At 38.7% G+C, this 26,087-nt stretch overlaps 1 protein-coding gene across 7 annotated transcripts, besides 1 other annotated feature; it reads left to right on the top strand.

Moving 5' to 3' along the window:
* On the top strand, positions 1 to 23,535 carry ZNF510 (zinc finger protein 510). 7 transcript variants are annotated; one of them, XM_017014483.2, is made up of 7 exons: positions 1 to 54; positions 377 to 506; positions 1,843 to 2,088; positions 3,242 to 3,300; positions 14,456 to 14,582; positions 14,875 to 14,970; positions 17,611 to 23,535. In XM_017014483.2, the coding sequence occupies exons 3-7, from the start codon at positions 2,019 to 2,021 to the stop codon at positions 19,308 to 19,310; spliced, it is 2,052 nt and encodes a 683-aa protein (XP_016869972.1). In that variant the 5' UTR covers positions 1 to 54; positions 377 to 506; positions 1,843 to 2,018; the 3' UTR covers positions 19,311 to 23,535. The 7 variants fall into 7 exon arrangements, with proteins under 7 accessions (XP_016869972.1, XP_005251865.1, NP_055745.1 ...); XM_005251808.3 differs by lacking the exon at positions 377 to 506 and having other exon boundaries at positions 17,614 to 23,535; NM_014930.3 differs by lacking the exon at positions 377 to 506.
* Positions 141 to 240: a silencer, noted in NCBI's record as "silent region_20091". NCBI's record gives its function as "represses an Ori minimal core promoter by ATAC-STARR-seq in GM12878 lymphoblastoid cells {active_cell/tissue: GM12878}" and the evidence as "EXISTENCE:reporter gene assay evidence [ECO:0000049][PMID:35858748]".
* Positions 23,536 to 26,087: the final 2,552 nt, after the last annotated feature.

Genomic DNA, 26,087 nt, shown 5'->3' with positions numbered 1-26,087 from the left:
ACTTTCCGGCTTCTCCCTGTTAGTGTTTGCTGGTGCAGAGGGTTCGCAGCTCAGGTGAGAGCGCCGGGCCTCCACGCGGATTGCGGACCTGCAGGGAGGGATGTGCTAGTGTCCAGGGGGCGGGAACGCGACGTCCCGGGAACTCCCCCAAAGCAGGCCGTCGCTCCCTGTGCCTCGGCCGGCCCGGGACCTCAGCCTGAGAAGGGCCGGTGGGGGCGGGCTCCGGGGGCGTTAGGTGGGGCTGAGTCCTAGTTGGAAGATGCTCGGTGCGGGCCGAGGTATGGGCGCCAGAATGCAGCCAGGCGTCGGAAAACGCGGTGCTGGCTTCAGGAGGGGAATGCGCGTTTATTGTATTGACCATGAACCTGCCACAAAGCGCGTACAGCCCGTGGGTCTGCGGTGAGAGGCCGAGCCTAGGAGCTAGAAGGACCTCGTGAATTTTGGCTCTGTCACTTGAGCGTTTGAAAATGAGGATATTAGTAAAAACTGCTTTGTGTCGTTCAGAGGTAAGCCATCCCCTGTAAAGCATTTAGCTAAGCGCTAGTTACTAAGCAGCATGTAAATGTTGATTCCCGTTATATTTGGAAGACACTTTGTTCTTTTCATGTAGTATTTCGTTTAATTCTCACAACCACCCTATTTATATCATTAAAAATGAAGAAGGAGGAGTGAAAAGATAGAGCCAAGCTCACAAAGGATGAGAGAGCTAGGATGTCAATACATAAACACTTTACTCCCCGAATCAGGCTGTTTGTAATGGCCTACCTACCTAACCCAGCATTGCAGCCTTCACAGCACTGAGTGATTGTCCCCAAAACCCCAGGACAATGATTGTGAAGTCAGTGTGGACAGAATCTTACTATGTGGCAAGTGTATTTGTTGTGGGGTTTCTGGGATGTCTCCAGAGCCTCTGGGTTAGACTGAGGCCCCTGCCACCTCCTGTGCTGTCCCTCCTGTCTCTGTCTTTAGAAGTCAGTCTGATATTCTAGGGCAGTGAAGATGAGTCACATACGTAATTTTAAATGTTAAACTAGTAGCTACATGAAAATCTAAAACATGAAATTAATTTTAAGAACATACTGTGGTTTTCTCAGTGTATCCAAAATGTTATTTCAACATGTGGTCCTAGCCACATTTCCAGTGCTCAGTAGTTGATGTGATTGGAGGCTGTAGTCATGGATAGCAGGGTTCTAATTAATGCCAAGAGAATCAGGTTTAAGGCCTTAGGTCACTTCTTCACCAGGAGGATTTTGCTCCCTAGGGAACTTTGGAAATGTTGGAGACTTTTTTGGTGGGGGGAGAGGGGACTGAGTTTCTCTCTGTCGCCCAGGCTGGAGGGCAGTGGTGTGATCTTGGCTCACTGCAACCTCCACCTCCCAGGTTCAACTGATTCTCCTGCCCCAGCCTCCCAGCTTGTAATCTCAGCTGGAATTACAAGCATGCATGGCCATGCCCAGCTAATTTTTTGTATTTTTAGTAGAGGTGGGGTTTCACCATATTGGCCAGGCTTATCTTGAACTCCTGACCTCAGGTGATCCACCTGCCTTGGCCTCCCACAGTCCTGGGATTACAGGCGTGAGCCACCACGCCCGGCCTGGAGACGTTTCTGATTGTCACAACAGGGAGAAGGGGTGTCCTAGTGTCTAGTGCATGTTTAGAAATGCTCTTAAACATCCTGCAATGCACAGGACCACTCCTTATGTCAGAGGATTATCCAGCCCAAAATGGAAGTTGTGCTGACGTGAAGAACACTGTTTTCCATGAAAGTTTCAACTAAAATAAATTTGTTACCCAGGCATCAGCCCCAGCTTCTCTGGAGCAAAGCAGCTCTTTATGTTGCAGGAAGGAGGGAGCCCCAGGAACAGGAGTCCCACCGAAGAACTGCTCTCTGACAGAACAGAGACCTCCTCACCAGGGCTTCCAAACAGATGCAGAAGAACCCAGAAAGGAGCAGGTCTTGATTTGCCCAACCAGCGGCACTTCTTCATCCCCTTGCCCAGAGAGCACCAGACTTGGTGATGTCGCCACATCCAGAAGCCATCACAGATTGTGTGACACTGAACACTGTGGGCCAACTTGCAGAAGGTGGTAAGCTGGGGTTGAGAGGCGTGGGTGACTGTCAGACTGCACAGGAAAAGCCACATTACTGGAGGGCTTTTCTCCATGGTCTCCAAGGAAGGCATAACCAGCCAGGGCTGAGGAAATTGTCTCTAATCCTCCTCATAGAGCCCCCATTTTCTTCATTCTTGCCTCACTCTTTCCAGATTCTGAGTCACTCTCACACAACATCCATCACATGTAGCATCTAGAAATTTACTAAGGTTGCCTCTATCCTGAACCTGTAGAATCACAAAAATGATAATACAGGAAAGGATTTCTATTTCTGACTCTTAAAACCTTAAAAAGTATTGAACCTAGGATGAACAGTTTGTCCATGGTCACTCAGGACAGAGCTTGGAGCAAAGCACAGTGCTGTTCACTCTGTCACAGGTGAGTCACCAGAAGTGTCTTATCGAAAGTCTTTTGAGAAACTATAAGTTAGAACAAAAATATTTTAAAATAGTCTTTCAGCATCTCCTTTTTTTCAGTTTTGTGTTTTCTATTGGTGTAAATAATATTAACAGAATATTAATGTTAATTCTGTTTAAGTTGTTAGTCAAAGAAGACATACATTTTAAATAAATCAATAGGAAAATAGTCTACAATCGCCTGATGAAAAACAGCAAGGGGCCAGGCCTGGTGGCTCACCCCTGCAATCCCAGCATTTTGGGAGGCCAAGGCGGGCAGATTGCTTGAGGTCAGGAGTTCGAGACCAGCCTAAGCTACATGGTGAAACCCCATTTCTACAAAAAATACAAAAATTAGCTGGGTGTAGTGGTGGGTGCCTTTGGTCCCAGCAACTCAGGAGGCTGAGACGGGAGAATTGCATGAACCCAGGAGGCAGAAGTTGCAGTGAACTGAGATCACACCGCTGCACTCCAGCCTGGGCAACAGAGCCAGATCCTGTCTCAAAAAAAAAAAACAAAAAAACACACACACACAGCAAGGGTTCATCCACATGATCATATTAAAGATGCACATATTCAGGAGGTGCTTTCTCTGTAGTGCTGCTTGTCCCTTCTCAAAGGTCAAAGGAACATTTTTTGTAGAGAGGCCTTTTTCCCCAGCTGGTGTGATGACATTGGTAGGCAGGTAAGATGGAGGCTGCCCAGATCTCTCATGACTCCTTCCTCACCCCCAGGTTATCCTTTACGGTTCTCCACACTCTTTCAGGAGCAGCAGAAAATGAACATATCTCAGGTGAGTTAATTACTAATACCTTTTTCATCATGGATTTCATAGGTGTTTAAGGGTCCACATATTAATATGGAAATGTAGAAATGGATCAAAATCATTCAAGGAATATATAGAAAAGCAGGGCAGTAGCACAGCAGAATTGGCATGTGGAAAGATGGAGGTCGCCTGATGTTACAGATTTTCCAAAATGGAACTGCAGTTTTCATTCTTTCTGATAGCCATGGCAGAGAGCCAGACAGACAGTATTTTTTTTACAGATTTGCATTGATGAGAAGCTTAAAACCAGGCTGATTCCTCATGGAATCTAAAGTTATCAAAGTCAGGGAAAATGTCTTTGTTGGTCTTCATGTGTCAGTGCAAATCTTTCTCATAACAGCCTTGAAATAAATGCAGTATGTTGCTTCTGCTTTTTCCTCAGTGGAAGTAGACGGCTTAGTGCCAAACTCAGGCTTTTATTAATACAGTTTTTCAGTTTTATTATTAATACAGTTTTTCAGGTAATGGAAACAGACGTTCAGGTAGACAGACTGTCAAAGAAAGGAGAGATCGATGGTGTAGGCTCTGTTGATCAGAGGTGGAGAGTTTAAAAGGATTTTGTCCTGAAAAATGGGTAAGGTTTTCATTGTTGCAGTACAGGAGATTACTGCATTTTGAGAGCAGGCTAAACAAGGCATGCAAGGTCCATTAAGAATCTTTGCCTATTGCAGTTTGGACTTCCTCTTAGGGAATAATAAGAGAGGGGAGGGAGATAAAGGTTAGAGCCTTAGTATTAGTTTGCTAGGGCTGCTATAATAAAGAACCACAGACTGGGTAGATTAAACAGCAATTTATTTTCCCACCATTCTGGAGACCAGAAGTCTGAGATCAAGATGTCATCGGGGGCCGGGTGAAGTCTGAGATCAAGATGTCAACAGGGGCCGGGTGCAGTGGCTCACGCCTGTGATCCCAGCACTTTGGGAGGCCAAGGAGAGCAGATCACTTGAAGTCAGGAGTTCGAGACCAGCCTGGCCAACGTGGTGAAACCCTGTCTCTACTAAAAATATAAAAATTAGCCGGGCGTGGTGGCGGGTGCCTGTAATCCCAGCTACTCGGGAGGCTGAGGCAGGAGAATTGCTTGAACCTGGGAGGCGGAGGCTGCAGTGAGCTGAGATCGTGCTACTGCACTCCAGCCTGGGCGACAGAGCTAGACTCCATCTCAAAAAAAAAAAAACAGATGTCAACAGGTTTGGTTCCTTCTGAGAGCTGTGAGGGAAGGGCCTTGCTCCGTGGCTTAGATGTCTGTCCTCACATCATCTTTCCTCTGTATGAGTCTATGTCCAAATTTTCTTTTCCTGTAAGGAATTGAGAAATTGTTCAAATATAGAAAGATACAAAGAAATAATATAATAAATATGTTCCCACCTTCCCAAATTACCAACTATATATATTTTGCTAAATTTTTGTTTCTCTTGTATGCACTCTTTTTTCCTTTTAAAAACTTAGTTCTTTAACTGAGATGCAGTTTTAATACCAGTAAAGTGTACTCTGAAGTGTGTAACTGGATGGATTTTTACATATGTAAATTCATGTAATTTAGTACCCAGATTAAGATAACACCACTGCTCCCCTCTACAGGGCAACCACAATTCTGACCTCATATGTTAGGGAAAAAAGATAAATTCATTTTTGAATATGATACCAGTAGAATCATACAAAGTGTATTCTTTTACAGTTTTCAAGGGAATGTTTTGCTCTGTATCTTAATATTTCCCTTTTATCACTGGGCTGTATTTCATTGTATGAATAGACCATAATTTATTTCCTCATTCTCCTCTTAGTGCATTTTTTCATTTGTTTTTCCTGTTTGAGGCTATCAGGAATAAGGCTGCTGTGAATATTCTTTTGTGTCTTTGGGTATGTCCTCATTGCTTTTGGGATATACTTAGAAATGGAATTGCTGGTTCATAGAATAAACATATGTTCAGTTTTAATACATACTGCAAGTAGCTTGCCTAAGTGGTCAAATCAGTTTACATTCCCACTAGCATTCTGGCTGTACCAGATTCTGAGCAACACTTGTTATTATCAATCTTTTTGTTTTTAGCCATTTTGGTGGCTGTATAGTGTGGTATCTTATCAAAATTTATAATTTGCTTTTCTATGGTAAATACTAATGTTGGGCACCATTGTTTGTGTTTTGGACATTTAGACATCATTTCTTTTTATGTAATATATAAAGTACCTATTCAACTCTGTTTTAATTGGGTTATTTGCTTTTTTTAAGTAGGAATTATTTCAATATTTTCAGTAAATGTTTTTTGCCATGTGTGCATTACTGATGTTCTTGGATTCCATGGCTTGCTTATTCATTTTTTAAATAATATATTTGACAACAAAGTTTTTACATTTAATAAAGGTCAGATCGTCTTTTCTTTAATGGCAGTTCCTTGTGTATCATATTTGAAAGCTCTTTCCCTACTCTTAAGATCAGATATTCTCCTATATTGTTACTACATACTTGTTTATTTTAGCTTGATCTACATAGAGTTAGCTTTTGTGTTTGGTATAAGGTGAGTGTCAAGGTTCATATTTCCATACGGATATCCAGTTGCTCTAGCACCATTTGTTAGAAAGACCATCTTCTGTCAACTGAATTGCAGCTGTTTTTTGTCAGTCAAGTGACTTGTATGCGGGTCTAATGTAGACTGTATATTTTCTTCCTTTGGTCCAATTAGTTTATCTTTTTGCTAGTACTTCACTGTCATAATTACTGTTGCTTTATAGTAAGTCACAAATTTTGTGAATTTATTTACTATTTTAGGTCCTTTTCATGTTCATGGAAGTTTTATCAATTTTCACAGAAAATCCTGATGGAAAGTTTTTCAGAGTAGAGGTGAAGTCTTTCACATCTTTTATTATATTTATTCCTAGGTATTTGATCTATTTTGATAATAGCACAAATGATACTGCATTTTAAATGTCATTTTCCAGTTTATTGTTAGTTTATTAAAATACGATGGATTTTTTTAGTATTGATCTTATACCTAGGCATTTTACAAAATTCACTCATTCTAATAGCTTATCTGTGGATTCTTTTGGATTTTAAATGTGCAAAATTTTTTTTGCAATAAAGACAATTTTACTTCTTCCTTTACAGTTTTTATATCTTTAATTTCTTTTTAGCCTTACTGCTAGGACTTCCAGTAAAATGTTTAGTACAAATGGTGATAATAGAAATCCTTGTCTTATACCTCACCTGAGGGGTACTCAGTATTTCACCATTGAGTCTTATTTTAACTACATGTTTTTTGTATATGTCCTTAATTAGAATAAGGAAGTTCCCTTTTTTATTTTTAGTTTCCTGAGTTTTTTTTTTTTTAATCATGCATGAGTATTTTGTCAGATGGCTATTCTTGCTTCTAGTGAGATAATCATATTATTTTATTCCTTTAGTCTGTTAAAGAGCTGAATTATATTGATAGATTTATCAATGTTTAACCAACCTTGCATTCCTGGGATAATTCCCACATAAGGTAGTGCTATCACTTTAAGTTATTTCTGGATTCAATTTGTTAATATTTCAATTAATATTTTTGTGTCTACATTAATGGAAAGATACTGGCTTGCAGTTTTTCTGTCATGTCATGTCACGTTTTGGCGTCAACATTATATTCTCAAAAAATGAGTTTGGAAACAGTTATTCATTTTGTGTTCTCTGAATGAGTTTAAGATTGCTGTTATTTCATCCTTAAATGTTTGGAAAAATATACCTGTGAGGTAGTCTAGCATTGGAGTTTTTCTTGTGCCTGGTTTTTGCTCATGAACTCAGTTTCTTTAACAGGATATAGAAAATCCAAATCGTGCTACTTATTCTAGTGTCCTTTATTTTTAACAGCTTTATGGAGATACAATTCACATACCATATAATTCACACTTTTAAAGTGTACAATTTTGTGGTTTTTAGTATATTTGTAGAGTTGTGCAGTCATTGCCACAATCAATTTTAGAATGTTTTCATCACTTCAAAAGGAAATTCCATATCATTTAGCTATCATCCCCCATCCTGACATACACAATCTCAGCCCTAAACAACAAGTAATCTGTGTTCTGTTTCTATATGTTTGGCTATTCTGGACATTTCTAATAAGTGAAGTCACATAATATGTGATCTTTGTGACTATTTCTATATATATATATATTTTTTTTTTGAGACAGAGTTTTGCTCTTGTCGCTCAGGCTGGATTGCAATGGCACGATCTCAGTTCACTGCAACATCCGCCCCCTCAGGTTCAAGCAGTTCTCCTGCCTCAGCCTCCCAAGTAGCTGGGATTACAGGCACCCACCGTCATGCCTGGCTAATTTTTCTATTTTTTTTTTTTTTTTTAGTAGACACAGGGTGTCACCATGTTGGCCAGGCTGGTCTCGAGCGCCTGACCTCAGATGATCCGCCCACCTCAGCTTCCCAAAGTTCTGCGATTACAGGTGTGAGCCGCCACACCTGGCCCTTTGTGACTATCCTTTTTACTTAGCATACTGTTTTCAAGGTTCATCCATGTTGTACGTATCAGTACATCATTCCTTTTTGTGACTGAATAATATTCCATTGTGTGGATATACCACATTGTTTATTCATTCAACTGATGAGCATTTGGATTGTTTCTCCCTTTTGACTGTTATGACTAGTGCTGCTATTAACATTCATGTACAAGTTTTTGTTTGGACACCTGTTTTCTCTTGGGACTAATCCTAGAAAAGGAACTTCTGACTCATATGGTAACTCTTGACTTATCTTTTTTGGTAACTGCCAAACTGTTTTCCACAGTGGCTGCACCATTTTACATTCCCACCAGCAGTGTATTAGGGTTCCACTTTCTCCACATCATTAAAACCACTTGTTATTTTCCCTTTTTTTAAAATTATGGACATCCTAGTGGGTGTGAAGTGGTATCATTTAACTTTGATTTGCATTTCCTTGATTAATGACATTCAACATCTTTTCATGCGCTTATTGGCTATTTGTTTATCATCTTTGGAGAAATGTCTATCCAAGTCCTTTGCCCATTTTGGATTACATTTTTTGTTGTTCAGTTATAAGAGTTCTTTATGTATTCTGGCTACTAGACATTTATTAAATGTAGTATTTGTGAATATTTTCTCCTATTCTGTAGGTTCTTTTCACTATCTTGATGGTATCCTTTGCACAAAAGTTTAATTGTGATGAAGTCCAATTTTTTTTTCTTTGGTATCATATCCAGGAAGTCATTGCCAAATCCAAGGTCATAAAGGTTTACTCCTGATTTCATCTAAGAGTCATGCAGTTAAACTCTTATATTTAGGTCTTTGATCCCTTTTAAGGCCAATTTTTTTTTTTTTTGGAGACGGAATCTTTGTCTGTTGCCCAGGCTGGAATCCAGTGGCACGATCTTGGCTCACTGCAACGTCCTTCTCCTGGGTTCAAGTGATTCTCCCACCTCAGCCTTCCGAGTAGCTGGAATTACAGGCATGCACCACAATGCCCGGGTAATTTTTATATTTTTTCAGTAGAGACGGAGTTTCACCATGTTGACCAGGCTGGTCATGAACTCCTGATCTCAAGTGATCTGTCTGCCTCAGCCTCCTAAAGTGCTGGGATTACAGGTGTGAGGCACCACACCTGGCTGTTTTGAGGCAATTTTAAAATACAGTATAAGGTAGGAGTCCAGCTTCATTATTTTGATGAGATTCAGTTATCCCAGCATCATCTGTTGAAAACTATTTTTTTCCTAATAAATGGCCAATGTATGGGTTTATTTCTGGGCTCTCAGTGCTATTCTGTGGATCTGTATGTCTGTATTTATGCCAGTACCACACTCTCTTGATTACTGTTGCTTTATAATAAGTTTTTAAATCAGGAAATGTAATCCCTCCAATTTTTTTTCTTTTTTTTCTAGATTGTTTTGACTATTCAGGGTCCCTTGCAATTTCATATAAATTGTAGGTTCAACATTTCTGCAGAAAGGTCATTAGGATTTTGATATAGATTTCACTGAATCTGTATATCACTTTTGGGAGTATTGTCATCTTAACAATTTTAAATCTTCCAATTCATGAACACAAGGTGTCTTTCCATTTATTTGGGTCCTCTGATTTCTTCTAGCAGTGTTTTCTAGTGTTCACGTATAAGTCATGTACCTTCTTGGTTAAATTTATTCCTATTTTATTATTTTTTGTTCTATTGTAAGTGGAATTGTTTTCTTTTTTATTATTCATTGCTAGTATTTAGAGAGATAAATGATTCTTGTGTGTTCATCTTGTATCCTACAATTTTGATGAATTCATTTATTGGCTCTAATAGTTTTTTGTGGCTTCCTTAGTCTTTTCCATGTATTAAATCTCATGGTCTCTGAGAATAGAGATAGTTTTACTTTTTTCTTTCCAATTTGGATGCATTTTTGTCTTACCTATTTCCTCTAGCTAGAACTTCCAGTATAATGAATAGAAATGATGAAAGCAGGCATCCCTGTCTTATTCCTGATATTTGGAAGAAACCTTCTTGTTTTTTAGCCTAGCGTATTCTGTTAGCTGTGGTTTTTCAGAAATGCTTTTTATTGTGTTGCAGCAGTTCTATTCTAGTCCTACCATGTTAAATGTTTGTTTTTATCATGAAAGGATATTTTTGTCAAATGCTTTTTCTGCATCAGTTGAGATGATCGTGTGACTTGTTTTCTTCATTTTATTATTGTGATATATTACACTGATTTATTTTCTTATGGTGAGCCACCTTGCATTCCTGGAAATAAATTGTACTTGGTCATGGTATATAGTACTTTTTATTTGTTGCAAGATTTGGTTTGCGAGTATTTTGTTGAAAACTTCTGCACACATATTCAGAAGGGATACATATCATAGTTTTTGGGTGATTTTTTTATCTGGCTTTGGTTCAAGGTAACTCATAGAATGAGTTAGGAAATGTTCACTCATCTTCTATTTTTGGAAGAATTAGAGAAGGATTGGTGTTAGTTTTTCTTTAAATGTTTGGTAGAATTCACCAAACATTTAAAGACAGACTGACAGTTGGTCTTGAGCCTTTCTTTGTTGGGAGGATTTGGATTACTGATTCAGTCTTATATCAGTCTGTTCGGATGTTCTGTTTCTTTTTGAGTCCATTTTGGTGGTTTGTGTGTTTCTAGGAATTTGTCCACTTCATCTTGGTTATGTAATTTGTTGCTATACAGTTCACTGTATTCTTTATTATAGTCTTTTTTATTTTGTAAGGTTAGTAGTAAGGTCCCCACCTCATTTAGTTCCTTAAAGTATACAATTAGGATACTGATTTGGGATCATTTTTAATATAGGTGTTACAGCTATAAATTTCACACTTAGCACTGCCTTAGCTGCATCTCATGCATTTTGGTATTTTGTGTATTCATTGTGAGTAATCTCAATGTATTTTCTAATTTCTGGGTCTCAGGGGTTTGTTTTGTTTTGTTTTGTTTTGTTTTTTTGAGACAGAGTCTCGCTCTATCACCCAGGCTGGAGTGTAGTGGCACGATATCAGCTCACTGCAACCTCCACCTCCCGGGTTCAAGCAATTCTCCTGCCTCAGACACCCGAGTAGCTGGGATTATGGGCACGCACCACCACACCTGGCTAATTTTTCTATTTTTAGTAGAGACAGGGTTTCACCATGTTGGCTAGGCTGGTCTCGAACTCCTGACCTCAAGTGATTCGCCTGCCTCAGCCTCCCAAAGTGCTGGAATTATAGGCGTGAACCACCATGCCCAGCCTCATTTCTCTTTTGATTTTCCCTTTGATCCTGTAGCGAGGTGAAAATCCACCTATGTGTATGGCCCCCAGGGACTTCACACACTCAAACTAGTACACATTTGCCTTTAGCAGGTTAAATTTTTCTAGTTTTATCTTCCTAATTGTATTAGATGGAGTTGAGTAGCATCTGCTCCAGTAAGCAAATGAGCACATCCTGATTCTCCCTGCAGGTGCCTGTCTCGTCTCTCTCTCTCCTAATAGTTTGAAAAAAAGATACTAATTTTCTGTTTTCCCAGCTATGTTCTTGTAAGGATGTTAGCGTTGCTTTTATCAGCTCTCTACATCTCTAAGCTAAGATCTAAAGCTACGCTGTATGATTGTAATTTTTTGTAATTTAGTGAGATAGACTGTCCTTTTTTTTTAATGTGCAAAGGAAACCAGAGAGTTATGTTATGCAGAGGTTATCCTATATATGTCAGTCAGGTTGGTTAATTATGTCTTTTCAATCTTCTATATCAGTGGTCAGAAAACTTTCTGTAAATGTCAGATAGTAGCCTTTGTGAGAGATACAGTCTCTGTTGCATCTACCAAACTCTGCAGCTGTAGTGTTAAGCAGCCATAGATAATACATAAACAAATGAATGTGGCTGTGTTCCAAGAAAACTTTATTTACAAAAAAAAAAAATTGGTAGTGGTGGTATTTTTCATTTACAAAAAAAAAAAAATAGTAGTGGTGAGCTGGATTTGACCTTTGTGCTGTAGTTCACTGACTCCTGTTCTATATCCCTGTTGGTTTTTCTTAATCTGCTTTTCTATGAGTTACTGGGAGAGTTACATTAAAATCACTAATTAAAATTGTAGATTGATATCTCATTTCTATCAACTTTTGTTTATATACAGTCAGTTCTCATAATTCTCAGTAGTAATGTTCCAAAAAGTCACTACAAACACTGAACTAATAAATACTGAACCATTACTCAGAGGAGAAATATGGGGTTAAGCCTCTAGTCACATTTTTGTCAGCCAGTCAGTACATAATCTTTTTGTGTGTCTTTCTGCATAAAGACACCTTATTTAATATTGTTGGTTTATAATGATTGAACTAATGGCCAACAACACCATAACTAATGCCTGAATGAATCTTATCTAACATAGATATTTTCTCCATGAGCCATACCACAGGCTTCTTGCACATAGGCACACTAGACAGCACATAACTGTTATACATATAGGCCATTTAAAAAGTGAAATCATCGGCCAGGCGCAGTGGCTCACGTCTGTAATCCCAGCACTTTGGGAGGCCGAGGTGGGTGGATCACGAGGTCAGGAGATGGAGACCATCATGGCCAACATGGTGAAACCCCATCTCTACTAAAAATACAAAAATTAGCTGGGCGTGGTGGCACGTGCCTGTAGTCCCAACTACTCAGGAGGCTGAGGCAGGATAATTGCTTGAACCTGGGAGGCGGGGGTTGCAGTGAGCCGAGATCACATCACTGCACTCCAGCCTGGCAACAGAGCAAGACTCTGTCTCAAAAAAAAAAAAGAAAAAGTGAAATCATCAAGAAAAAGCACAAAAATGCAGTAAATATGGCACTAAATAGACTGAGAAGTGGACACTTATTTACAGTATCAGAGCTGAAACAAGAAAGCAGATCACCTTGTTGAGCCTCATCTGGGAACATGTAGGTCAGGCAATTCAAATTTTTTACCTTCCTGTACATGTCCACAAATGACTGCAAAATAACTGCAAGTGTTGATTTTGAGGTTGCAAATAATTTTAGTGTGTGAATTTACAAATACGTAATCCGTGAATAATAAGAAATGCTAATTGGACGCTATGTTTGCCAGGTGCATAGCAATTTTGATTTGTTGTATCTTCTATTGAAAGGACTGTTTTGTCATTACAAATCGTTACTCAGTTTTTTGTTGTTGTTGTTGTTGTTGTTTTTTATACAAGAATCTCACTCTGTCACCCAGGCTGGAGTGCAGTGGCGCGATCTCAGCTCACTGCAACCTCCGCCTCCCAGGTCCAAACGATTCTCCTGCCTCAGCCTCCTGAGTAGCTAGGATTACAGGCACTCACCACCACACCCGGCTAATTTTTGTATTTTTAATAGAGATGGGGTTTCACCACGTTGGTCAGGCTGGTCTCAAACTCCTGACCTCGTGATCCGCCTGCCTCGGCCTCCCAAAGTGCTAGGATTACAGGCATGAGCCACCGCACCCGGCCCGTTACTCATTTTTTATACCTCTTTCTTACCTTAAAGTCTACTGTATATGATAGTAATGCAGTCATATCAACTATCTTTTGGTTTTGATTATATGGTATATCTTTTTCCATCCTTTTACTTTCAATCTCCATAATCCCTATATATATAATGTTTCCTTTGTTGTTGTATTATACTTTATCTTTTCTTTAATACTATTATTTAGTCCAGAGAATGGTACATTTTTTTCTATAAAGGCAAGTAATAAATATTTTCAGTTTTGACAATCATAAGGTCTCTGATGGAACTTCTCAGTGCTATTTCAGCACAAAAACAGCCATAAACAATGCAACATGATTGGGTGTGCCTGTGTGCCAACTGACTTTATTTAAAAAGCGGTAAGTGGCCAGGTACAGTGACTCACACTTATAATCCCAGAGCTTTTGGAGGCCAAGGTGGGAGGATCACTTGAGGCCAGGAGTTCAAGATTAGCCTAGGCAACATAGCAAGACACTGTCTTTACCACACATACACAAAAAACTGGCAAGCCAGATTTGGCCCAAAGGCCATAATTTGCTGACTCCTGCCATGATGTATGCCCAGGGTAGTCTGTTGGGATGGAATACAAATTGTAGGAAGTTTATTTACATTTTTTGGCTACAAAAATAAGAATAAAAAAAAAGTTTTAGTAATGTATCTATTTATAGTATATGTATATAACTCATAAATATATATAGATCATTTATAAACATTTTCTTTGAGACAAGGTCTTGCTCTGTCACCAAGGCTGGTATACAGTGGTGTGATCATGGCTCATTGCAGCCTCAACCACCTGGGCTCAAGCAATCCTTCTGCCTCAGCCTCCCAAGTAGCTGGGACTACAGGCACATACCACCATACCTGGCTAATTTTTTAAATTTTTTGTAGAGACAGGGCCTTGCTGTGTTGCCCAGTCTGGTCTTGAACTCCTGGGCTCAAGCAGTCCTCCCACCTTGGCCTCCCAAAGTGCTGGGATTACAGGCATGAGCCACTGCACCTCTCCTATAAAAACTTTTACCAATTTAATACCTTCAAAGTCTAAGATTAAATTAGATTCAAAATAGGCATCCTTTACATTCGTTTAAGCTTTTTAGAGTTAAACCTGATAAGAATTGTTTTCATGGCTATTTTCTACATCATCTAATTCTGAACCCTTCAGATTGAATAGAAATGTACTGTTACAGGCATCAGTGTCATTCAAGGACGTGACTATAGAATTCACCCAGGAGGAGTGGCAGCAAATGGCCCCTGTTCAGAAGAATCTGTACAGAGATGTGATGCTGGAGAACTACAGCAACCTCGTCTCAGTGGGTAAGCATGTAAACATAACTTACCCTTGTAACTCCATATAGAAGGTATTTCTTTTTTAAGTGCCAATACATGTGAACAATTTACTTAAAGTTTAAATTATTTAGGCTTTTCATTCAGGATTCCAAAGTAACTATGCCCTGTCGAGGACTAGAAAGAATGTGTTGTCAACTCCCAGTGATAAATGCAAAGGAGCACTTTCAGGATACTGCTTCCAAAGCTGTATTTTCTTCCACTTTTGGAGACTAAAATCTCATATATCTGGTCTAAGTCCTCGATTGTGTTTTATTAACAGGGTACTGCTGTTTCAAACCAGAGGTGATCTTCAAGTTGGAGCAAGGAGAGGAGCCTTGGTTCTCAGAGGAGGAATTCTCAAACCAGAGTCACCCAAGTGAGTTACTGAGCAGTAGTAGACATAATTCTGCAGGAGTGGTTAGACTCCAGGTCACTTTAGGGGTGAACACCTAAATATTGCAAGACTTTTCTTAGAAAGCCTAAAGGCACAAAAAGCAGCAGTTAAAAGAAAATAATTAATAAAGTTGATTCCATTAAAAGTAAGAAATTTGTTAATATATTATTCAAAAGGTGAAAAGACAAGCCACCAACCAGCATAATATGTATGTAGTGCAAATAACTTAGAAAGGATATGCTTCCTGAAAATGTAAAGAACTTCTGCGAGTCATTGTGGGAAAAGATAGGCAACCCAGATGAAAAATGGGCAAAAACATTGAACAAGAACTTTTTAATATGTATGCCCAGTAAATCTTTGAAAATGTGTTCAATCTCATTAGTTTTCATGGAGCACAAAATAATATATGAAGTGAGATATGAGGTGAAATAACAGATATGAAGTGAGTTTACAAATATGGCAATGCCAAGTCTTGGTGAGGATATGGAATGTTAGACACCCTTATCCACTGATTGATTGGAAATATAAACTGGTAAAACCACTGTGGTATCAGGAGGATGTTTTCTTTTTCTTTTCTTTTTTTTTTTTTTTGAGACGGAGTCTCCCTCTGTCACTCAGGCTGGAGTGCAGTGGTGCAATCTTGGCTCACTGCAAGCTCCACCTCCCAGGTTTACGCCATTCTCCTGCCTCAGCCTCCAGAGTAGCTGGCAGTACAGGCACCTGCCACCACACCCAGCCAATTTTTTGTATTTTTAGTAGAGACAGGGTTTCACCATGTTAGCCAGGATGGTCTTGATCTCCTGACCTTGTGATCTGCCCACCTCAGGCTCCCAAAGTGCTGGGATTACAGGCATGAGCCACTGTGCCTGGCCTCTTTTTTTTTTTTTTTTTTTTTAATTTCCACAGGTTTTGGGGGAACAGGTGGTATTTGGTTACACGAGTAAGTTCTTTAGTGGTGATTTGTGAGATTCTGATGCACCCATCACCCAAGCAGTATACACTGCACCCAATTTGTAGTCTTTTTTCCCAGTCCCCCTTCCCACCCTAAGTCTCCAAAGTCCATTGTATCATTTTTATGCCTTTGCATCCCACCAGGATGTTTTCTAATCAAGGTAAACTTTTGCATATGTTGTAGCCAAGTAATTCCTTTTCTAACTGTATGACTGACAAAAAGATATGATTATGTTCTCTGGAATACATAAAAGAATATTAATGGAAGTATTGTTTATGTTTGGCAAAAATAGTGCTCATCAACAGTAGAATGGAGAAACAGTTGTATTCTTTAAGGAAAAATTATACAGCCACATAAAATCTTGTACACTGATTACAAACATAATATTAACCAAAAGAAAAAATATGCATATATGGCTATATTTATGTAAAGGTCAGAAGCAGGCAAAATTCAATGACATTTTAGGAATTCATATATTGTTGATAAAACTATGAAGAAAATCAAGGAAATTATTACATAAATATTAGGAGACTGGTGAATTCTAAGCATAGAGAAGTTGTGTGAATTCTAAGCATAGAGAAGTTGTAACCAAGCATAGGTAAACAGGGATTTTTGCAGAGCCATTTGTGTTTCATGACATGGTTTCTGATTCCATGAGTGTTCACTTAATAGTATTAAGTTGCACATGAAAGTTTTATGCAGATATATATTGTTTCATGCTTAATAAAATGTTAAGAGGTAAGCGAGAAGTGGCAGATGATATTTGCAATATGACCTGTCAAGGATAGGCATTTAGAATGCATAAAGAATCCAGACCTCTCTTAAATGTCATTTTCACAGTAGAACTTTCTGTGATACCCTATTTAAAATTGTACCCCTCATGTCAGATTGAAATGTGGAAACTCAGGATGGGATGATCAGGTTCACTTAGCACTTAGTTCTGATGGAATAAATCAATGCTATGACAGCCAGAATGGAGCAGTGCATCTAAGTTAGTTGCATGAATGGATTTTATTTTCAACAATTTTATACTTGCTTGTATTTCTATGAATCACAACCATAAGACAGGTTAGAGCTATAAACTTTTTCATTTAATCATAAAGGAGTTGGTGCTGTTATAAATTTAATTTGATGTTGAATTGATGAGGGATATCAAATTGTAAGAATGTAGACAATAGACTATTCTAACCATTATAATCTAGATAATGTCAAGACCTAGACTGTAATTTACTTTCAGCTTCTAAACCCCCTCCCTGTTGAGTCTATTCCAAAATTCCTGTTATCTCCTGATTTTCCTTGTTATACTACTTACATTTAGAGTTTTTGTTGTATTTATCCCATTCTCTGTTTTTCCTGCTCCCTAAAATAACTACCCCTATAAAACGCTTAGTTTTATTTTATTTTCTTTCCTCTATCTATCCAGTTAGGAAAATCTTACTAATCACATGCAAAATATGTATTCATTACCAGCTTCCTCTCCCATTTGCACTATATCAATATTATTTTTTAAAGGAGGGTGGTCTGAGATATATATATTTACACACACATACATCTGAATTATTTAATCTTGATAAATCAAATAATTAGGTGCAACATAGGCTGTATGTTGATAAAGCTCTACCCACAGAAGATGTAAGAGTCATAAGATGTTTTCAATATTTCTGTTTTAGAAGATTACAGAGGTGATGACCTGATCAAGCAGAACAAGAAAATCAAAGACAAACACTTGGAGCAAGCAATATGTATCAATAATAAAACATTGACTACAGAGGAAGAGAAAGTTTTGGGGAAACCATTTACTCTGCATGTAGCTGCTGTTGCTTCAACAAAAATGTCCTGCAAATGCAACTCATGGGAAGTGAATTTGCAAAGTATTTCTGAATTTATCATTAATAATAGAAACTATTCAACAAAGAAAATAGGTTGCGGTAATGTATGTGAGAATTCACCTTTCAAAATTAACTTTGAGAAAACTCAGACTGGAGAGAAATTTTATGAACATAATAAAAACATGAAAGCTCTCAATTATAATGAAAATCTTCCCAAGCATCCAAAGTTTCAAACTTTGGAGCAAGCTTTTGAATGTAATAAAATTGGAAAAGCCTTTAATGATAAGGCTAACTGTGTTAAACATAACAGTTCTCACACAGGAGAAACATCCTCTAAAGATGATGAATTTAGGAAAAATTGTGATAAGAAAACTCTCTTTGACCACAGGAGAACTGGCACAGGGAAGAAACACCTGCATCTTAATCAATGTGGGAAATCCTTTGAGAAGTCAACTGTGGAGGAATATAATAAACTTAATATGGGTATAAAACATTATGAATTAAATCCAAGTGGAAATAATTTCAACAGAAAGGCACACCTCACTGATCCTCAAACAGCTGTCATAGAAGAGAACCCATTGGTAAGTAATGACAGAACACAGACTTGGGTTAAATCCTCTGAATATCATGAAAATAAGAAATCCTACCAGACGTCGGTTCACAGAGTTCGCCGAAGAAGTCACTCAATGATGAAACCCTATAAATGTAATGAATGTGGGAAATCCTTCTGTCAGAAAGGACATCTCATTCAACATCAGAGAACTCACACAGGAGAGAAACCATTTGAATGTAGTGAATGTGGAAAAACTTTCTCCCAGAAGTCACACCTCAGTACTCATCAGAGAATTCATACAGCAGAAAAACCCTATAAATGTAATGAATGTGGAAAAACATTTGTCCAGAAGTCAACCCTCAGGGGACATCAAAGAATTCACACAGGAGAAAAACCCTATGAATGTAGTGAATGTGGGAAAACTTTTGTTCAGAAGTCCACCCTCAGAGATCATCACAGAATTCACACAGGGGAGAAATCCTTTCAATGCAATCAATGTGGAAAAACATTTGGCCAGAAGTCAAACCTCAGAATACATCAGAGAACTCACACTGGGGAGAAAACTTACCAGTGTAATGAATGTGAAAAATCCTTCTGGCGAAAAGATCATCTCATTCAACATCAGAAAACTCACACGGGAGAGAAACCATTCAAATGTAACGAATGTGGGAAAACTTTTGCCCGGACATCAACCCTCAGAGTGCATCAAAGAATTCACACTGGGGAGAAACCATTTAAATGTAATGAATGTGGGAAGAAATTTGTCCGGAAAGCAATCCTTAGTGATCATCAGAGAATTCACACAGGGGAGAAACCCTTTCAGTGTAATAAATGTGGGAAAACTTTTGGCCAGAAATCAAACCTCAGAATACATCAAAGGACTCACAGTGGGGAGAAATCTTATGAATGCAATGAATATGGGAAATTATGTAAGAAGTCTACCCTAAGCTTATACCAGAAAATTCAGGGAGAGGGGAATCCCTATTGATGTAATAACTAGAAAATCCTTTTGACAAAAGGAATACCCCATTTGATATCAGAGATACACAAAAAACCAATTGAGGGTAGTGAATGTAAGAAGACAGTCCCAGAAGTAAACCCTCACTGTGAATCAGAGAATTCACATAGGAAAGAAACCAGATGAAGATGAATGCAGGAAGAATTGTGTCCAAAATGCAACCTTCAGAGTGTATCAAAGAATTCAGACAGGCTTCTGTTTTCAGAGTACTATGGATAGGCCTGAATGAAGTCATACCCTATTAGATAGCTCCCACACATCACACAGGCTGGTAATCTCTTCACCAGCACCAATTTCATTTTACTCCAGGCACATAGTCCAGATTTCCCAATCTCCTTTTCATCCAGGTTGGTCTTTGTGACTGGCTACTAAGATGTGGATGTCCATGATGTATATCACATCCCAGTCTGAAACATAAGAGACTTCCCTAATAAATTACCAGGGCCCTGTCACAACAAAATGGATATCATTTCTAGGACAAGCTTGGTGCCGTGCTTTAATGTGGCATGGTACAAGATAAAGAAGTCTGTGCCTGAATGAATACACGCAGCAAAATTCTCCTCTTCTGTGTCTTTCCCAGTTGAACATTATGTGAGCAAAATTTAAGCTTATACAGTAGTCCCCCCTTATCTGTATTTTCACTTTACGCAATTTCCATTAACCATGGTCAACTGTACTTTAAAGTTATTAAATGGATCCAGAAATAAACAATTCCTACATTTTAAACTGCACCCGATTCTGAGTAGTGGGATGAAGTCTCATGCCCTCCTGCTCTCCCATGAGGGTTATTGAATCATTCCTTAGTCTAGCATATCCACAGTGTATACACTATCTGCCAGTTAGTCACTTACTTGACATTTTAGTTATCAGATCACCTGTCAGGGTATGACAGTGCTTGTATTCAAGTAACCCTTGTTTTACTAAATAATGGCCTGAAATTGCAAGAGCATTTCTGGCATGTTGTTGTAATTATTCCATTATTAGTCCTTAATTTATAAATTAGGCACAGCAAGAGATTAAACTATCATAGGCATGTGTATATGTAGGAAAAAAATATAGTATATACAGGGTTCAGTATACCCGTGGTTTCAAACATCAACTTGGAATTCTTGGAGAGCATTCCTTGTAGTTAAGCAGGGACTACTGTATTCTGTTGAGCTTTCACATGTTTGAGTCTATTTGTTTCTACACATAATTTAGTTATCTTCTGCTAGGAAGGCAGAAAGCTTCTGTGTAAGCCAGGCTTAAGTCAATCAGAGGGCACAAACCTTATTAGGAGGCTAGAGAGTCAAGGAGAACCTCAAATATGATCAGAGAATTGTGGAAAAGACATCCTTTCAATGTAATGAAATTGATAGTACCACCTGATACAGGGCTTTGCATGAACCTAAAAGTCTTTTGGCTGAATGGTGAGCAGCCACTGTGCAGTTCAACGTAAGTGTGCCTTAATTGCACAGAGGTACTGCCCCCACACCTCCTGACACCTCCATATACCCCAGCTATATCTGCTTTAAGGAGTTTTCCCTGGCTCCAAAGGCCATTGGCACCCACCCAAGTATTATGGGAAACCTCCAGAGAGGGGAGGGACTCAGATTTATATGGCTTTATTGAATCCATGCCCAAGGCAACATCTTACTAGTTCCTGTGGGGGTACAGGACACCTAGATTTAGCTAATGGGGTTTGGCAATGGGAAGGCAAACAAATTTAATAACTTTATGGGTGAGGTACTTTGGGCCAGTAGAGTATACTACAGTTATGTTTACATCTGAAAGTGTAGTAGGGATTAATTCCCATAAGTTATAGAGAGAATTCTAATTCCCTGTAATTCGCATAAGTCATAGAATTCTAATCAGGAATAATTGTATGTAAAGATACCTCTGAGGTCCAACAGCTCTGATCATTTTGGGCTTCAAGTCTCTCTCTGTGACTGGTGATTTTGTGGGTTGAAACTTCTGGCAAAAGGGGGCAGCCCTTGGGAGCTGGGGGCCAGGGGATTGACTTGGTTCCCTGACAAGGGTACCAGGTCCACCCCTTCTGAAAAGCAGCTGTTAGTTTACTCTTGGGCTCTTTTACACATTGGATATCTCTTCCTTGGGTAGAGGGTTCTGACCTAAAATTCCACTTTAGGAGTTTGTCGTCTTGGACTCAACAACTAACAAAATGAAAAGGACCCAGCAAGCCTCACTTGTGGAATGAAAATGGGGCATTCAGGAAAGCACCTGTCCTGGCCCCACAGTATGTCAGCTGTATAGGCAATAGTAGTAGCTGTCTCTTAGAAGGGAAATAATGTATCACCTCTTTCCAGAACGAAGCAAAGTTGCTGGCTTAGTAGAGCCCTCAATTCATAGAGGTTACTGTAATTGGGCCTGGCTCACTGATGCTTTCGCCAACTGAAACTACTAGGATCCTGTGTGTGTTCAAACTCAGTGCCATTAACAAACCCAAAGTGAAGCGGTCACTCCTCTCAGTGGAAAGAGCACGAGGATGTTCTCAGCTCTGGCCAATACTCCATTTCATAAACCATGTTACATTTTTGTTAAGCCTTGGCTCTGGATGTGGCCTAGATATTTGATATTCTAATTGGAAATTACAGATTAAAAAGCACCCTTTCTTTGTACAGTGGGGGTAAAAGTCACAGCTGCTTAGTACAACCATCTGGGTTGCTCAAGTAGATGCCCATAATAAGAGACTATTTTCTGATAAGACTGACTGGAATCAAGCTGCCGACAGCTTTCTCCATCCAGATTGTGACGGTTGCTACCTGGATCCATCATTTTACTGGTATGGCAAAAAATCACCCATGTGACACTGGGTGACATGGTAAAAGTACATGGTACTTTTACAGTACCATGTACTGTACAAAATAAAGGTCTCTTTATCTGACGCTTCCATTGATGTCATTGGATATAAGAATTTACAAAACTTTTTTCCTTCTGGATAAATAGCCAGTACTTCATATGCCATTGATTAATTCACCTTTTTCCCACTGATTTTAAATATATACTAAATTGTCATTTGTAAAGATAGTGCATATGACTGATTAAACATTCTGATATTTTAGTAACATCATTTTGTGAATAGGACTGGCATGTATAGGAACCATAATACCCATCTTTCTGGCCTGCTACTGAATTTTTCACAGAAGGATAATTGAATCAAGTTTGGAAAAAGAATACATCTTAGGACTTAAGAAATAGAATATCATAGGCCAGTTACATTGTAACTGTAGAACTGCCAGCAGCCTTACCAAGAAAATGCATTGACAATAGGAGAGCATAAGGTTACCCCTGGAGAGAAGCAGATATGACAGGAAGATTAATGGTACACAAGCCCAGTTAGTACCTGTTAGGACCAGTTAGTCCCTGAGAATCAAAACATCACTGTTTACTCTGTTTTTGTAATACTTCCTAATATAAAGCAAGTCTGTCTTTAAACTTTTTTTACTCAAGACACTTTCTGAAAGAAAATATTTAGAATCATCTCTCTTCCTGCCCCTTTTAAATAGGATATTTGAGGATTATGACTGGGTTTGGTATTAAGGATCAGGAACCCTGTAGGGTGGAACTGATTCACCGAGGTGGCCTGAGTCATTGGGAGGCCAGGTGGCAAAGCCCCATGACTGGGGACTCAGGCTTCACCTGCTGTCCCTTAGCAGAGGGCGGCCCACAGGATACCTTTCCATACAATACATCACCAACTGGAGACCATGGTCTGTGCTCTAGTCATGTATGCTCCCTCTCCTTGCCTGGTTGATCTCCTTAGCAACTCATGGTCTTTTACTCTAGCAGATGGATGCCTCATCTAGAGACTCTGGAGGAGCTGATTTTCTGTCTGCCCACCCACTAAGGGCCTTCAAGCTAATAAAGATAGAAAACAAGGCAGGAATTTTTGTCTGTTTTATTCACAGTGTATCTCAAACACATGAAGCAGTCCCTCTTCGTATTAGGCACTCAGAAATACTTGCTGAAGGTACAGTTATCAAACTGAAATCTGAGCATTTTTCCTTTTGATGTTCCAAGTTATCTTTTGGGTGATTATTATAAATAGGTAAAATATTGCTATAAGTTCCCTATTCACGGGTATTTTATAAATTTTTAAAACTTGTTCTTAATCTTCAGAAGTGTACAGAACTGTTCTTCAGATCTTTGTCAACCAAAACATGTATTTTCAATAAATTGAGATTCCCAGTTCAAAGTTATGTCTACACATTTAATCAGTTTATTAGTATTGTAGAGTATAACCTTTTTTTTTTTTCTGCTTTGCTTCCACACAAATACTTTGTAAGTACCAGTCTAAGCAATTTTGCAAAACAATAATGTAAAATCCTATTTCCAAGATCAACCAGATGGGCATGCAAAGAAAATCTGGGGATCATCACTTTAATCCAACTTAACAATAGTTCCCCTCATTTTTACTCTCCAAATAATCCTTCTCACAGTTCAAAAGAGAAGTTTTTTGTTACATTCAGATATCTTTGCCCTTGGAGAGACATGTTACCCTGAAAGAAGGGGTATAACACCTTCATGTGACTTCCTGCCTCTATGTTTGTCTTCTCTGATACCTTGTCATATTAAATGTCTTCCCAGAACCCCAGAAGAAATAGTATCTTCTGTCCTTGTACTAGGGTAGCCTTTTATAATGGGAGAGAAATTTGTTTTCTTGTCAGATTGCACAGTCTTCAAGTACCAACAGCCTGCCTGGCCAACTGGCTATTTTAGTGATCTTCCAGTATTCTAAGGAGCACTGACAGAACTGTATAACTAGCTTACACATCAGCTGACTGACCCATTGATACTTAAACTAGGAAACTGGTTGGCCTGATTTCTTGGCAAAAGACATCTGCCAAAATAAATTTGACTAATCAGATATGCTGGGACTGAGTGACAGGTTCAGGATAGGTAATGTCATCGCTAACTAATGAAGCCTTCCTATCCTCATTTAGTTCCTTATTCACCAGATGTCTCCAATGCATACATGCCTAACAATTCAATCCCTCAAATGGCAAGGGTGAAGAGGCTATGCTCTTTAAAAAAAAAATATTTAATGAGCCAAAAGGATTGAGATGATGACAACCTTGTACATACCTTCAGCATACCTAATTATGGTTTACTTCTCTCTTACTTGATGTTCAGATGCACTAAATTAAATGCTCCAAACCAACATACCAATCTCTCAGTCCTCACTGGAGCCAACTAATGATCAGTCTTTTTCCCCTTTGCCTCATTGATGTAACCTGCCTGACATCTGTGGCATGAATCTGCAAGCCATGCCCTAATCCATTTTACACCAAGTAAGTTGTACCCTCAGGAATCCCTTATTTCCTTAGAAACATGCAATATTCTTTAGAATATGACAGTTGTTAACCATCATATTCCTAATCCCTCCGTTAATGGTAACAATCCTTGCCCCGAAGTCATTTACTGCCTCTCTTACCAACTTTGATCTTATCTTTTACCACTTTCCTAGTGTCTCTGTCACTTTGTATTGCCTTGTCAACAATGACTTGTAACTGCCTTCTCTCTGGACAATGTGGGCTTTAAGGACAGGTCATGATTTAATAAGAAAAAGGAGGAGGTATCACAACAATCACATTTGAAAAATACAAATTGTAAAAGCAATCCACTTTGATAGCTCTTAGTGGACTTCAACTCCCCTCTTTCAATAGTGAGTGAAACAATAGATAAGAAAGAAGGTCAAAAGGAAATAGAGGATCTGAACTAAACCATAAACCAGTTATACCTTACTTAACATCTATACAGAACACTTCACCGAACACCTCCTGCATACAAATTCTTCTCAAGTGTACATGAAACATTCTCTAGGATAGACCATGATGTTAGAGCACAAAACAAGCCTAAATGAGTTTTAAAGGTTAAAGTAATATAAAGTACCTCCTGGGGCCGGGCACAGTGGCACACACCTGTAATTCCAGCACCTTGAGAGGCCCAGGCAGGAGGATCTTGAGCCCAGGAGTTTGAGACCAGCCTGGGCAACATGGCAAAACCCTGTCTCCAAAAGATACAAAAATTCAGCCGAGCATGGTGGCATGAACCTGTAGACCTAGCAACCCAGGAAACTGAGGTAGGAGGATCATTTGAGTCTGGGAGGTTGAGGCTGCAGTGAACCAAGATTGTGCCACTGCACTCCAGCCTGGGTGATGAAGTGAGACCTTATTTCAAAAAAAAAAAGTATCTTCTCTGATCAAAACAGAATGAAAACAGAAGTCAGTAAGAGAAGAAAACTTGAAAAACTAAAAAACACGAGAATGTGGAAATCAAATGACACATTTTTAAAAAATTAAAAGATTAAAGAAAAAATTACAAAGGAAATTAGAAAATACTTTGAGATGAATGAAAATGAAAATCTACCACAATGTATGAATGTAGCTAAAGCAGTGCTTAGGGAGAAACTTATAGCTGAAAACACTTACATTAAATAGATCAATAACCTAACTATATATTTTAAGGAACTCTTGATAAATAAGTGCAAACTTAAACCAAAGATAGCAGAAGGAAAGAAAGAAGAGAGATAAACAAAATAGAGAATAGAAAAACAGTAGAACAAAACAAAATTGGTTCTTTGAAATTAACAAAATTGACAGACCTTTAGATAGCCTGACCAAGAAAAAAAGGACTCAAATTACTAAATCAGAAATGAAAGTGAGAACATTACTACCAACCTTTCACAAATAGGCTTATAAATAAAAAGGAAGTTGGAGAACTCACACTTCCTCAATTTCAAAACTC

This window comes from Homo sapiens, chromosome 9, assembly GCF_000001405.40.
Source record: "Homo sapiens chromosome 9, GRCh38.p14 Primary Assembly".
Taxonomy (NCBI): Eukaryota; Metazoa; Chordata; class Mammalia; order Primates; family Hominidae; genus Homo; species Homo sapiens.
Note: the sequence above shows the minus strand (reverse complement) of the source record. Positions and strands in the feature narration are given on the sequence as shown.